The sequence below is a fragment of the Homo sapiens genome, chromosome 13 (assembly GCF_000001405.40).
Source record: "Homo sapiens chromosome 13, GRCh38.p14 Primary Assembly".
Lineage (NCBI taxonomy): Eukaryota > Metazoa > Chordata > Mammalia > Primates > Hominidae > Homo > Homo sapiens.
The window spans coordinates 112,842,028-112,857,651 of NC_000013.11; the positions used below are offsets into that span (position 1 = coordinate 112,842,028).

At 47.2% G+C, this 15,624-nt stretch overlaps 1 protein-coding gene across 13 annotated transcripts in view, besides 1 other annotated feature; it reads left to right on the plus strand.

Annotated features, from left to right (window-relative positions):
* ATP11A (ATPase phospholipid transporting 11A) overlaps positions 1 to 15,624 on the plus strand; it is a 197,131-nt gene that overhangs the window by 151,990 nt on the left and 29,517 nt on the right. For 12 of the 13 annotated variants that reach the window (NM_015205.3, XM_011537480.3, NM_001405663.1 and 9 more), the window contains exons 17-20: positions 249 to 352; positions 9,010 to 9,191; positions 12,252 to 12,503; positions 13,884 to 14,058. In NM_015205.3, the coding sequence (NP_056020.2) occupies positions 249 to 352; positions 9,010 to 9,191; positions 12,252 to 12,503; positions 13,884 to 14,058 (713 nt within the window). The remainder of the gene's footprint in view (positions 1 to 248; positions 353 to 9,009; positions 9,192 to 12,251; positions 12,504 to 13,883; positions 14,059 to 15,624) is intronic. The other variant, XM_047430219.1, reaches the window with a different exon arrangement.
* Positions 8,809 to 9,309: an enhancer, noted in NCBI's record as "H3K4me1 hESC enhancer chr13:113505150-113505650 (GRCh37/hg19 assembly coordinates)". NCBI's record gives its function as "activates a minimal SCP1, AML or CMV promoter by ChIP-STARR-seq in primed H9 embryonic stem cells {active_cell/tissue: H9 hESC(primed)}" and the evidence as "EXISTENCE:reporter gene assay evidence [ECO:0000049][PMID:30033119]".

Here is a 15,624-nt window from a genome sequence, read left to right on the forward strand (position 1 = left end):
CAAGTTCTTTTCCTCGTTCCTGCCTCTCCTGTGGAATTTCTAGGGTGTAGGAATAAAACGAGGCTTTGGAGGTTATCTGTGGGTTTATTTTTTCCTGACTGTAGCGTGTTAACTGGTCCATTAAAATCTTTAAAAAGCTTTCCACACTGCTATCCCTGTTTTTTGTTTTTTAATAATGGCATAATTTTAAAAAATAATCTAGTCTTCCCCATATTGTGATTAAACTCCTCATTTTTCTCATTTTGTAGGAGAAATTTATCTGTTTTGCAAAGGAGCAGATTCTTCGATATTCCCCCGAGTGATAGAAGGCAAAGTTGACCAGATCCGAGCCAGAGTGGAGCGTAACGCAGTGGTGAGAGCCGGGCTGGGGAGGGCCTCGTGGCGGTCAGCTCCCCTGCTGTCAGGAAGGAATTCCATGTTCCACAAGTTCCTGGCTGGGAATGGCGTATTGTATTCCTTGGGGAATGTTTAGAAATCAGCTGGGCCAGAGGCAGACAGACAGGCAGCCTCAGCCGGCACCGACCCCAGGGGGCCTCCGATACCCAGCCAGGCACAGGCTGTCCAGCCAGGCACAGGCCATCTCCTCCCCAGCCTTGCACAGGGTTTTATTTTCGGGTGGGTGCCAGGTTGGTTGATTGATGTTTTGGGGAGTCAGAATTAGCACGTTTGTGGTTATTGTATTGGAGCAAAAAGTCTTTGTGTTGACGTTTCTAGTGATTTGCTTCAAAACAAATCAGCACTTTCGTTTTCTGTTGTGACATCACCTGTTTGGGTTTCTTTCCCCATCTGGGTCTTAAGCTTGTATGATAAGGTTTCTTTCCACCACTTGTTGTATAGCACCGCCCAGCAGCCCGCACACCTGAGCCTCCCACTCCGTGGGTCCGGCTTTCTGTCTTTGGGGCTGCTGCGGTAGGGGGCCGGCCTGAGTGTCTCTCACAGCAGGGCCTCCCCTCCCCGTCAGACGCGCTAAAGCCGGGCAACACGTGGCTGGGGTGGACACGCTCCCTCCTGTCAGACACCTTAACTCCGGGTGATGCGTGGCTGGGTGGACATGCTCCCTCCTGTGAGAGGTCCTAACGCCGAGCGACGCATGGTTGGGTGGACGTGCTCTCTCCCGTCAGATGTCCTAACGCCGAGTGACGCACGGCTGAGTGCACATGCTCCCTCCTGTGAGATGCCCTAAAGCTACACTGTGCGTGGCTGGGGTGGACGCACTCCCTCCTGTCAGACGTCCTAAAGCTGGGTGACGCATGGCCGGGTGGGCGCGTTCCCTCCCATCAGATGCCCTAACGTTGGGTGATGCGTGGCTGGGTGGACGCGCTCCCTCTGCTCCCCACGTGGCTGCTTTGTCCCACGGTGTCTGCACCCTTCTCCCGACACCACCCTGGGGTCTTCTCCCTCACTCCAGCCCAGGGCAGCACCTCCTCTCACACCGACCTTATCATCTTTTCATGAAAAAGAAACAGTAACTGACAGGCTCTCCTCCCAGAGGTCCAAAATGACGCTGGCCAGAGTGGCTACGCACTGGAAAACAAGACTTCCAAGGCTGGCTCTGCACCAAGGAAGGCTGAACCGAGAGAACCTTGGACTAGAGGTCGTGGTACTCAGCGCTCCCTTCACTGACCATTTAAATGTAAAGCAATGTTTGTCCTCGCTGTCAGTCGCAACACTTGATTACTGTAGATGTCAGAGCATTAAGAATTCCTGCCGATGGACAGGAGCCCTTTCGCTCGCGAGCCCGTGCGTGCAGCAGCCAGAGCCTGTGAACTTCGTGGAATGCTGTCGACGTGCGGATCATCATCTTTACGTTGCTATTAAAACAGCTCCTGGCACTACAAAGTAGCTGCGTTGGAGCCAACAGGAATCCATAAATCAGCAGCAGGTTAAAGATTGTTGAACTTCTCTGTGAGGGATCTGGAAAATACATCACTGACTTCCACCAGCCACAGAGCTGCAGGGTGGGAGCCGAGCGGGTTCCTCTGAGCAGCACAAGCGTCCTGCGCTTCGACACACAATGAGCCTCAGTACAGGGGCGTGTGGGGGCTCCTGAGGGGGCAGCTCCATCTGCAGCTCGCTTTCCAATAGCGCGAGGCTGTGCTTTGCTGTGACGTGGTCGCCGTGCCATGCTGAGCACACGATGGCTACAGGTCACAGGTGACTGGTCCTCCATGGAGGGTCTTCATGGCCTGAGTACCAAATATCTTCCACCTGCTGGATCCCCACTGCTGCTGCCCAGGAGAGTAGGCGCATGGATTATGTGAATTGTGATGATTGTAAAGTCCACTTGCTGCTTGTTTCAGAAAGTCTTCTTGAGATGTAATTGCCATACATTGATCTATACATATTTAAAATGCGAGAGCAGCAAGGGCATTGACACACGAACACACAGGTGGAGGCTTTGCCTGCTGGGAAGGGGACGCATCCCTCACCCTAGAGACTGTCTCGCGCCCTCATACTCCCATCCCTGCCAACTCCCACTCGCTGGAGACCACCGCTCCACTCGCCGTCACTGCAGATTCGTGCCCACCTTCTGGAGCTTCCTATCAGCAGAATCACAAAAGGCGGCTGTTGTATCCGGCGTCTTTCACTCCCATAACTGCTGAGACTCGGCCGTGTGGGCCCGTTCATTTCTGTCGTGAGGAACAGCAGCACTCGTTCAGTTGCCGAGCACTAGCGGTACTAGTTCAGCGGCCGCTAGTCCAAGTACCTCTAGCGGTACTAGTCCAAGTGCCGGGCACTAGCAGTACTAACCAGTCCAGTTGCCGGGTGTTAGTGGTACTAACCAGTCCAGTTGCCGGGTGTTAGTGGTACTAACCAGTCCAGTTGCCGGGCACTAACAGTACTAATCAGTCCAGTTGCCGACTGCTAGCGGTACTAGTCCAGTTACTGGGCACTAGCCATACTAACCAGTCCAGTTGCCGGGCACTAGCAGTACTAGTCCAAGTGCCAGGTATCAGTGGTACTAATCAGTCCAGTTGCCAGCCGCTAGCAGTACTAGTCCAGTTACCGGGCACTAGCCATACTAACCAGTCCAGTTACTGGGCACTGGTGGTACAGACCAGTCCAGTTGCCAGCCACTAGCGGTACTAGTACTAGTCCAAGTGCCGGGCAGTAGCAGTACTAACCAGTCCAGTTGCCAGGCGCTAGCAGTACTAACCAGTCCAGTTTCCAGGCACTAGTGATACTAACCAGTCCAGTTGCCGGGCACTAGCAGTACTAACCAATCCAGTTGCCAGCACTAGCGGTACTATTCAGTCCAGTTGCCAGGCACTAGTGGTTCTAACCAGTCCAGTTGCCGGCACTATCGGTACTAACCAGTCCAGTTGCCAGCACTAGCGGTACTATTCAGTCCAGTTGCCAGCACTAGCGGTACTATTCAGTCCAGTTGCCAGGCACTAGTGGTTCTAACCAGTCCAGTTGCCAGCACTAGCGGTACTATTCAGTCCAGTTGCCAGGCACTAGTGGTTCTAACCAGTCCAGTTGCCGGCACTAGCGGTACTAACCAGTCCAGTTGCTGGCACTAGCGGTACTAACCAGTCCAGTTGCCAGGCACTAGTGGTTCTAACCAGTCCAGTTACCAGGCACTAGCGGTACTAACCAGTCCAGTTGCCAGCACTAGCGGTACTATTCAGTCCAGTTACCAGGCACTAGCGGTACTAACCAGTCCAGTTGCTGGCACTAGCGGTACTAACCAGTCCAGTTACCAGGCACTAGCGGTACTAACCAGTCCAGTTGCCGGCACTAGCGGTACTAACCAGTCCAGTTTCCAGGCACTAGTGATACTAACCAGTCCAGTTGCCGGCACTAGCAGTACTAACCAGTCCAGTTGCCGGCACTAGCAGCACTCGTTCATTTGCCGGGCACTCGCAGTGCTAGTTCTTTCTACGGATGGACCAGTTTCTTGATTCTTCCGCCTGTTGGCAGACATTGGGTTGTTTCCAGTTGGGGCTGTTTTGGAAGCAGCTGCTGCGGGCCGCCTGCTGTGCGTGTCTGGGGCTGAGCCGATGTGTCCTTTTCTCCTGGGGACCCTCCTGTCAGAGCGTCTTCATTTCTCTTTCCACAGCTTCCCTTTTCTGGCTGCTTTTGAGGTGTTTCGTGATGGGATGCCTTGGTGGAGTGATGCTGTGTTTCTTTGCTCAGCCGTGTTGAGCATCTCGGATCTGCGGCGTTTCATCAAGTTTAACATTTTTCAGCAATTATTCTACAGATATTTTTCTTCCTTGCTCCCTTTCAGCAGTTCCAGGACCCATGTACTCAACTGCCGGATGTTGTCTCACCGCTTACAAAGGCTTTTCCCTTTAAGGTTTTCCACGTTTCTTTAGAGACGGTTTCTGTTGCCATGTCACGAGTTTTTCCCGTGCAGCGTCTAACCTGTCAGCACCCCACGCAGGACACCCCTCTCCTCAAACATCGGAGTTTTCATGTCTAGAAATTCCGCCAGCGTGGTTTTGTATCCTCATGCCCCTACTTAACATGGGGCGTGTGTGATAACGATTGCGGTGACTGTTTAAATCCTCCTCGCTAACGGATGGGACGTGTGTGATAACGGTGGCAGTGACTGTTTAAATCCTCCTCGCTAACTGCACCCCTGCTGCCAGCTCTGGACCAGCCACAGTGTTGCACAGTCCCCTCGTTTGGGGCAGGGACGGTGCCCCTGCGTGATGGTGGCCTGTGGCCGGATGCCTGCCTGTGGGCTTTGTTGGATGCTGGGTATCGTGGTCCTCCTGGAGATCTTAAATCTTGTTCTGGGGTGTGGCTGAGTTCCTGGGAACAGTCTGTTCCTTTCAGGCCATGCCTTCGTGATGTCCAGCAGACCCACAGCAGTGCCTGCCCCGGGTGGTGCTCCCCAGACTGCCAGGCCCTGAGCGCTGTGCCTGGTGAGTGGCCATGCCTCCTGGCAGCAGGCTGTCCCACCCTCCTCCTAATGGCTTGTTGCTGGCCTCCAGGAGCTTCCTCACAGTTGCAGGTGCTTGAGGGGCCGTCCACAGCCTCTGGCATCCACTCCATCCTAGGAACTCTGGTGCTTGTTCCCTTGACACCCAGGTCTGCCCCATAACTCAGGGAATTCACTGGCTCCGGCTACGTTCCCCTGCCCGAGCCTCGGCCTGGAAGCTCTCCGGGTAGTGAGCTGGGCACTTGCAGGGCCCCCTCGGTTGGCAGCATTTTATTTTGAAATAATTACAGATTTAGGAGAAGTTAAAATAAGTAGAAAGACAGTCCAGAGGGGCCTGTGTGTCCTTCGAGTCCAGTTAATTTCTCCTTTCGCTGGCTGTGCTTGCTGTCATATCGAAGAAACTGCTATGAAATCCAAGATGATGAAGATTTGCCACCACTGTGTTTTTTTCTATAAGTTTTCTAGTTTTAGCTCTTAAATGTAGGAGTGTAATCCATGTTTGGCTAATTTTTGCATCTTTCATAAAGTGAGGGTCCTACTTTATTTCCCTGCATGCAGTTATCCAGTTTTCCCAGCACCATTTGGTGAAGACTCTCCTCTCCCACTGAGTGATACTGACACTCTTGCTGAAAAGCATTTGATTACGGTACCTGGAGGTTTATTTCTGGGCTCTCTGTTCCATCCCATTTTCTCTATGTCTGTCTTTATCCCAGTTCCCGCTGTTTTGATTACTGTCAGTTTCTAGCAGGCTTTGAAACCAGGATATGTGAGTCTTTCAACTTTGTTCTTCTGTTATAAAATGGTTTGGCTATTCTGAACCTCTTGAGATTTAATAGGAATTTTAGGATGGGCTTTTTCATTTGTGCAGAAAATGCCACTGGGGGCCAGGTACGGTGGCTCATACTTGTAATTCCAGCACTTTGGGAGGCTGAGGCATAAGGATCACTTGAGGCCAGAAGTTTGAGACCAGCCTGGGAAACATAGCAAGACCCTGCCTCTACAAAACATACAAAAGGAAAATCAGCCAGGGGTGGAGGCACACATCTGTGGTCCTAGCTACTAGGCAGGATGAGATGGAAGGGTCGCTTGAGCACAGAAGTTTAAAGCAGTAGTGAGCCGTGATGGCACCACTGCATGTTTCCACGGGCAACTGAGTAAGACCCTGTCTCAAAAAAAGAAACGGAGGAAGGGCGGGAGGGAAGAGCCATTGGGATGTTGATAGGATTTCATTTAATCAGTAGATCACTTTGGGTAGTGTTGTCATCTTAACAATCCATGAACATGGGATATCTTTCCATTTATTTAGGTATTTTATAATTTCTTTCAGCAAACTTTGGTATTTTTCAGCCTTGAGTCTTTTACCTCCTTGGTTAAATTTATTCATAAGTATTTTACTTTTGTTGATGCTACTGAAGTGGAATTTTTTTTTAATTTCCTTTTCATATTGTTCATTGGTAGTGTATAGAAATGCCACTAGTTTTCGTGTGTTGACTTTGTACCCTGTGTCTTTGCTGAATTCAGTTAGTGGGGAGCACATTCTTCATGGTCTTCTGGATATAGGATCATGTCATCTGCAAATAGGCCTTAGAAAGGCATCCTTTCTAATGTGGAAACTTTCTTTTTCTCTTTATAGCCTAATCCTCTCACTTAGAGCATCTAATACTCTGTTGAATAGAAGTGGCAAAAGCAGGCATCCCTGTCTTGTTCCTGATCCTACGGAAAAGCTTTCAGTCCTTCACCATGGAGGGTGATGTTAGCTGTAGGTTTTTCTTTTCTTTTTTTTGAGACAGAGTTTTGCTCTTGTCGCCCAGGCTGGAGTGCAATGGCACGATCTCGGCTCACTGCAACCTCTGCCTCCTGGGTTCAAGCCATTCTCTTGCCTCAGCCTCCCGAGTAACTGGGATTATAGGCATGCACCACCACGCCTGGCTAATTTTTGTATTTTTAGTAGAGATGGGGTTTCACCACGTTGGCCAGTCTGGTCTTGAATTCCTGACCTCAGGTGATCTGCCCACCTCAGCCTCCCAAAGTGCTGGGATTACAGGCGTGAGCCATCATGCCTTGCTGGTTTTTTCACTTAAGTGGTTTTTACCACGTTGAGGAGGTTTCTTCTCTCCCCAGTTTATTAAGTGGTTTTATCACCAAAAGGTGCTGGTTTTTTTTCAGATGCCTTTTCTGCATCAGTTGAGATGATCATGTGGGATTTATGTCATGTATTGCATTGACTTTCATATGTTGACTCACTTTTGCATTCCTGGAATAAACCCCACTTGGTCGTGGTGTATGATCCTCTATGTGCCATTGGATTCAGTTTGCTAGTATTTTGTTGAGCATATTTGCATCTATATTTCTAAGGGATATTGTTCTACAGTTTTCTTGTAGGGTATTTGTCTGGCTTTGTTTTATGTGCTGTGTCCAGGGTTTTCGTAGTACTTAGCAGGAGGAATAGAGAAAAGTATTTCTGTTCTGTGTTACCACAAGAGAAAGTCCCTGATTGACTTTTAAAAGCAGCGACATATTTATTTCCAAAAGCTTCTGCTTATCACTCACAGCAACCTAAGTTCTGGGACCATTTTGGGTTATTATCCTGTAAAACCATTTTCTTGTTATGTAATTTTTCTGGTTTCAGACTGAAGCTATATATCTTGTATGTTTTATTGCCTCTTAGGAAAAGTCAGAGAATTCATTCTGCAATTCGCATTTATGTCTCCAATCTGTAACTTGATCAACAGGTGCACAAAAGATCTAATTTCAACCACTTATTTATTCAGCAAACGTTGTTGAGTTTTGGCTGTGTGCCAGGGATTCAGTGGTGAAGTCAGACACAGTGCCCACAGCCAGAGAACCCAGTGCCTAACAATAGAGGCAAACCCGTGAGCAGAAAGCTGCAAGGTCGTGTGCTCAGCAGGAGGTGAGGCTGGGGTGGCTGAGCAGCGTCTGTTCAGTGCTACTTTCCTCTGAGACGGGTCCACTGGCTTCTCACTTATTCTTGACCAGGAGACAATATCTGGAGGATGGGAAGGAAGGAGTTCCAGAATGTTCCTGGAGAACAGGACTCAGGCACACATAGACCCTGTCTTGTGTTCTGACTTCTTCAACTCCCCCTTTCCCAACTTCTGGCTTTTGAGAGCTCAAGGGCCATGACAGCCGTTGACCCAGTGGCAATTCTGTCCACACCAGTTAAGAGGTCGGAACTAGTGATAAATATGAGCCTTCCCTGAGAGTTAGGAGACGCTTCATCTCATAGAACGGAAAACATTGTTTCAACTCTTACAAACCAGCATTCTGCCGGATTTTAAAATGGTTATTTGGGAGGATTATGGTTCTTTTACTATTATCAGTAGGGCTGGGGCTGAAGGAGCAGGGAAAACGGAAGGGGAACACCCTAGATGATCAGGTGTGAACCTCTGTGACGGTCGCGCTCAGCAGCCTTGACTGATGGAATGAAGAGGTTCATCTGTAAACCGCCCCCTGTGTGGCTGCTTCAGCCTCTGCCCCCATTCCTTGTGTCTTGCTGGTGGCGGCTGCATTCTCTCTGTATGGTAACATCCAGAATGATGATCACAGTAAGGAATTTGTGATTCTTGATTTCTTTTGTTCCTGTGCAACCAATGATTTTGATAAATAACCTGGCAGGTTTCCTTCATTGTGAAAGAACAACCTACCTTACAAACTTCCCACATAAAACATGTTTACTTTAGAAATATCACTTGATATTACCCATAAAATTACAAATGATTATCCTTAAAAAAAAAAGGTTAAATTTAACTCTGCATTTGTCAAAATAAAGGAACAAATTTTATCTTTTGATAGATGACTCTGATTTCTGTTACTTATTTCCAGGCTTTCTAGTCTGAAAATGCTGTAATCCATAATGATTCTTGGTATTTAATGTAGACTTAAATAATTCACTTGTTGATGACTTACTCCTTTCAAGATTTGGTTGGATTATAATCTTTCTTTCTTTGTTTACTTAGTACTGTAAGTTTTGAAAGGGTTACAATTCTTGGGTTAGTTAGTCTAATGAGAGAAGGGATACTGGGAAGGCCGTGGAGCGTAATATTTCAGCAAGTGACACCTTGAATTCGTGCTAAACGCTGCATTGTGTTCTGCAGGAGGGGCTCCGAACTTTGTGTGTTGCTTATAAAAGGCTGATCCAAGAAGAATATGAAGGCATTTGTAAGCTGCTGCAGGCTGCCAAAGTGGCCCTTCAAGATCGAGAGAAAAAGTTAGCAGAAGCCTATGAGCAAATAGAGAAAGATCTTACTCTGCTTGGTGCTACAGCTGTTGAGGACCGGTAAAGTAAACGCATGCATCCCGTCCTGAGAGACAAACTGGGATGCAGGCCGACGGCCCAGGGCGTGTGAGGGCGAGTGGACGGGAGGGAGGCCATCCGCACAGCCGACGGGGCGTGTTTGCTGCTCAGGGAGAGGCTAGGTGTCTTGCTACACCCTGGAGTCATGTCAGGAAGGTCATGCCTGGGGGATATTTTGTTGTCCATGAAGAAGATGCCTGAAAGCACACTTTCCCAGGAAGTAGTGAAAATAGCTTTGTCATATCATATTATGAACAGGCAAGATAGAAGGGCTCTTACAAATTCTTTCTTCTTTTTTTTTAAGGGATGGCATCTTGGTGTGTTGCCCAGGCTGGAGTGCAGTGGCACCATCACAACTCACTGCAGTCTAAAACTCCTAGGCTCAAGCTGTCCTCCCTTCTCAGCCTCCTGAGTAGCTAGAACTTCAAGCACATACCACCATGCCTGGCTAATTTTTTATATTTTTTGTAGAGATAGGATCTCACTATGTTGCCCAGGCTAGTCTCAAATTCCTGGCCTCAAGCAATCCTCCCACCTCAGCCTCTGAAAGTGCTGGAATTGCAGGCATGAGCAGTCATGCCTGACTGTAATTACTCTTTAGAATGGAATCAACAACTAACTCTGTTCCTAAACTTGTTGCTAGTTCTTTCCAAATACTGGTATTACTTCTTAGATCATTACATACTCAATGTGTTTATCATTACTTGAAAAAACTTAATGAAGTAGAAAATTACAAAAACTAATAATCATCATAACTGGCAAAATTACCAATTACAGATTTTCAGGTACCTCTAAGGCAAGAGCTGCCAGTGTGCCCCAGCTCCACAATGGGGACTGAAAGTTGTTTGAGGCTGAGGCCACTAAGAAACAGTCGTCTGGTCCACATGGTGCCTTCCGAGCTGAGTGAAAGGCATGGATTTCAGTGGTTTGTAGGAATGGAAGAAAAAAAATGCCCCAATTGATGAGAATGAAGCAGAAACTTCAGAAAGTTCACTGGGAGTTTATCTCCTAGAAGAGGTTAAAGGCATCAAGTTTGAAAGTCTTTAAGATCCATTTCGGTCCAAAACTGAAATCCTTATCACTAACCCTGCATTTTCTGAGCGTGTTGAACAAATGTTCCTTGAGTTCTCGATCTGAATGGAGTATTAGGCGAAGTGGGAAGTTTTGGTTTGGTGGTTTTGTGTTTTGTTTTGAAGTCACTCTCCCCTGTTCAGTCCAGAGTAAGTGCACAGAGCACCGTGTAAAGAACGCGACTTGCACGTGGGAAGGCTTCAGAGCGCAGGGCCACGGCCGCCGAAAGGCTTTGCTGCTGGGGGCTGCGTCCTTGCTCTAGTGGCCAGTCACTCACCTGCTGTCTGTCCAGGAGAAGAGGGGTGTCCGTAGGATGGTGTTTGCCTGGGGAGCAGCTGGGTCGATCTTTAGAGGCCTTGGTGGAGGAGCGTGGGGATGCCTCCGGCAGAGCAGATGGGACAGAGCCCCTGGGGCGGGGGGCAGGTTGACTTGACTGGAATGGGAATGTAGAAGAGTGGAGAGTTAATGCCTGGTTGGCGGGGGGGGATCTCAGTGGCTTTTTCGTGATGATACTTGCTTATAAATTATTTCCTTATAATCTCCAGTCAGCAAGTGCGAAACATCTCTGAGCCTCAGCTTCCTTTTGAATCGAATTGTAGGGCCAGGCCCGGTGGAGCACGCTTGTAAACAGGGCCAGGCCCGGTGGAGCACGCTTGTAATCCTCGCAATTTGGGAGGCTGATGCAGGAGGATTGATTAAGGCCAGGAGTTTGAGCCCAGCCTGGGCAATATAGTGAGATCCCATCTCTTGAATTTTTTTTTAATTAGTCAAGCATGGTAGCAGGCACCTGTTGTCCTAGCTACTTGGGAGGCTGAGGAGGGAGGATCGCTTGAGCCCAGGAGTTGGAGGCTGCGGTGAGCTGAGATCATACCACTGTACCCTAGCCTGGGCAACATAAGGCGTTCTCTCGTTCTCTTGCTCGCTCTCTTTCTCTCTCTCTATATATATATATATGCACACACACATATGTACATACACACACACACACATATATATATACACATACATACACACACATAAAATTACAGGCTTTTTTTTCATCTATAGAATACTATGATTGTCTGATCTTGAGACTTTTAGCTAGGAAGTTCTTCCCAAAACCTAACCAGATCCTTCCAGTTAGAATTTAAATCCATTCCTTTCATACTTTCTAGAAGCATGGCACGTTACTTCACACGAAAGTAGTCTGAAACTTAGAAAAAATGGAGGCCCCAAAGTGAGGCAGACATGGTTTGACCCCAGATCTCCCAAGGAGAGGGCAGTGGTCTGACTGCTGTCGGAAGAGCCGCTTACCCCCGACACCTTCTGCAGCGTCTGCAGGCTTTGGGTTTTCCATATGTAAATAGGTGTGGTGCTAGCGTCCTTACTCGTGACATCATGGTAAGCATGAAAGATTGCACATAGGAAGTGTCACACAGGCCTGGCATGTGGCAAGCCCATGGCACCTGTTGGCCATAGAATCACTAGTGTTATTCTCAGTATTTTATATTATTTAGAGGTACCTGGACCCCAAGTGGGTTCTAAGTGACAAACTTAGAACAGTTTATACAAAACAAAAGACAATCAATATTCCTGACCACCTTGAGTCCAGATCCCATCTTTCCATGGTTGAGACATTTTTGGTGGTGGTTATAATTTCCTGAAACCCTCCCCAGGTAGTGAGTCCCACCTACACACAAAACCGCCAGGCTTGTCAGACGTCAGTGACACAAGACAGCCCTTTACTTCTCACATGTTTGATCCATGTTTATCTCTCTGCTGTTAGGAAGTGTTTCGCTGTGAAACACTAGTTCAGACCTTCAGAAGCTGCTTCAGTACTTCGTGGTGAGATCATGAGCCACAGTGTGGAGTGTTTTGATTTTGAGGGGCTACGATATTTTGACAGCTTTGCAAGTTTCTGCAGTTCCTTATTTGGATTCCTGGGTCAGCACTGACTTTTCTCTATGCTGTGTTTGGTTTTGCCTCCCTCAGGCTGCAGGAGAAAGCTGCAGACACCATCGAGGCCCTGCAGAAGGCCGGGATCAAAGTCTGGGTTCTCACGGGAGACAAGATGGAGACGGCCGCGGCCACGTGCTACGCCTGCAAGCTCTTCCGCAGGAACACGCAGCTGCTGGAGCTGACCACCAAGAGGATCGAGGAGCAGAGCCTGCACGACGTCCTGTTCGAGCTGAGCAAGACGGTCCTGCGCCACAGCGGGAGCCTGACCAGAGACAACCTGTCCGGGTAGGCAGCGCGTCCCCGCCCCCACCCCCACACTCCCGCAAAAGGGGCTTCAGACCCAGTGGCCTTCACCTGCAAGTCGGGGAGCCGCATTGTCTCTACTGGGAATTCGGTTCTCCCCTGGGGCATTAATGCCAGCTTCTTAGGGGTCAGGTGAACACTGGGAACAAAACGGGCTGTTTTTTCCAGCAATTGTGATGTGTCTTTTTCACATATGTGTGTGTATGTGTGTATGTTCAGTTTCACACTGCCGGCTAACAGATGCAAAAAGACATGATGGATAAAATATTTTGAGTGGGATAATTCTCATCTGTTTCTGAGACTTAGGGGCTCTGCTTCAGGCACCTTCAAGCATCTGCTGGAGGAAGTGGAGATATTAATAATGCATGGTTGTTCGTCTAAGACGAAGCAGTACATGCCCAAGAGTTGTTTTTTTCCCAAGAATATTCAGTAGTTTATTCAGATACATTTTATCGATGCTGTCCTTACTGGTGTTAGATGCATTATCTGAGATTACATGTTATTTGAATCATTTCAGTTTCATTCATGTACATAAAGCGAAAGCAGCTCTCTAATTTACACAAATGTTAAGTTATTCATAAATAGCACAGATAATTCCCTCTACCTGATCTGCAATCTGCAGAACTCCTTTTAGGGATTGGAGGGTTTTTTTTGTTGTTTTTTGTTTTTTGTTTTTGAGATGGAGCCTCAATCTGTCGCCCAGGCTGGAGTGCAGTGATCTTGGCTCACTGTGACCTCCGCCTCCCAGGTTCAAACAATTCTCCTGCCTCAGCTTCCCAAGTAGCTGGGATTAAAAGCGCTCACCTTTTAATAGAGACAGGGTTTCACCATGTTGGCCAGGCTGGTTTTGAACTCCTGACCTCAGGTGATCCACCCGCCTTGGCCTCCCAAAGTGCTGGGATTACAGGTGTGAGCCACCGCATCCAGCCTTCTTGTCATTTTGAAACCCAGCAAAGAGGAGATTATGACCATGTTCTTTCCAACTTAGGTCATCCAGGCAGAAACCCAAGGACTTAGCTGTAAAGACTGTGACCAAGAAGGTTGAGAGTAAAGACCAACCAAGATCTTAGACCACAAGATGAACGCCTTCCTGTTGTTTCAAAAGTACAGGGACTTAACGAGTCCACAAAGAGAGTCTGCACTTGCTTTACCTAAAATAGGAATGTTTCATAAAATACACTCTTAAATGTCGACAAAAGGTGTTATGTTCAATACTATAAAAATTGTATTGGTAAAACAAGAAACACTAGTTTCTTAATCCCATGGATTTGTAGCATCTGTCGATATCCAAAAACAATACAGTCTTCTAAAATCTATAGATTTAGTGATTGAGCAATCTTTCTGACTCACGTACTCTAACAGACTTTCAGCAGATATGCAGGACTACGGTTTAATTATCGACGGAGCTGCACTGTCTCTGATAATGAAGCCTCGAGAAGACGGGAGTTCCGGCAACTACAGGGAGCTCTTCCTGGAAATCTGCCGGAGCTGCAGCGCGGTGCTCTGCTGCCGCATGGCGCCCTTGCAGAAGGCTCAGGTGCTGCCCGCCCGTCCTCGATAGCTGGTGGTCAGGGCGTCCAAAACACTGAAAACCTTCCGTTAGGTCTCACCGCCTCAGATTGTTAAACAATCTAGCAGGGTACCACCTGTTAAAAATAGAAGCAACCGTGATAGAGATTTAAAACGCAGATCTTGTTTTGCTTGTCGGGCCAGCTTCTGTGATTAGTGGGTGATGACCAGTCAGATGTATGACCCTTCCAGATGCAGTGGCCAGGACAGCTGCCCTGGCTGACTTCTGTTAAAAAAAAAAAAAAAAGCTATCTCAATCACTCCTGAGAATCTACACTAAAGGTGTAAGGGAAGGGAGCTGACATTACTGAGCACCTAGTGTGTGCCTCCTACAGATACGAATGCATTTAGTCTCAAAATAACCCTCTCAGACAAATGAGGGCACCAGCTTTACAAATGGGAATAATTTGCCGAAAAGGCTGCAGATGGGAAATGCCACGAGGATTCAACTTGTCTTGTCCATCAAACTCCAAACGTCTCACGCGGCCATGTTCTTGTGGGAAACGCACACCTGAAGTTTTTTCTTTAAATAGTTTTGAAAGCACTATGGAATGTATTGTAAACATGGATGTCTTTCTGGTATCAGGAAGCCTAGAAAAGTTCTGACTTTGTTATACCACATTTTAGATATGATAGGCCAATTTCTCTTGAACTGTTCATGAATAAATCCATCATTGGTCAGAGCAAACCAGTGGTTAAGGTAAAATGCGTCTCACACAAACTCTGGAAACCAAGGAGGTGAAAAGTTGAGCCTTTGTGCATGTGGGTGCACTAATCTGTCAATTTCACTAAAAACACAGAACCAGGGTCCTCAGAATGACGAGCCTAGAGCATTCACAGACCTTCCATGTGAGGAAGACGGTTTGATGTCCTCCTCTCCCTCACATGCGTAACTGCACATAAACCTTACAGAATTACTTCCCAAATGGAACAGCAACTAAGGATTTGCCATTCGCTCTTCATGTATTCCATAGTACTTTTTTAAGTTCTCAACTGGCTTTTGAAACATTTCATACAAATTAACTTGTGTTTCAGTTTCCTATCTTGAAACAAGAAGGCACCCACGTTTCCCCCCATCTCTTCATTCTTACAGCTTGAACTGTTACATTTAGGCACATAGATGGGGGGGAAAAGATTATAAAGAAATTGACTAAAAACTTGGAAATTATTTTTACATAAAATTGTCATATTTGATTTTGCACGTTACAAATTTGAAAATTAAAATAGCATTAGGAATAGTTTATGTTTAGAAATAGATGCTTTATACCAAATAGCTTGAAGTACCTTGGAATAGTGATCTTACAGAATGCAGGGTTCACATTTGCCCCTGTATATTTAAATATATTTTCCCAGGATTTACACACTTTTCCATATATTTAAGTAGAGGAATATAACAATAACTACAAGCTACTTCATATATCTCACATCTCTACTGCCAAAGTTTGTCTACCAGCCTTTTCCAGCTCACGTCATTTTAATCATACCTCATTTCTTTTACTTTATTTTGTTTTGCTTTCAATATGAAAAAGGTTTT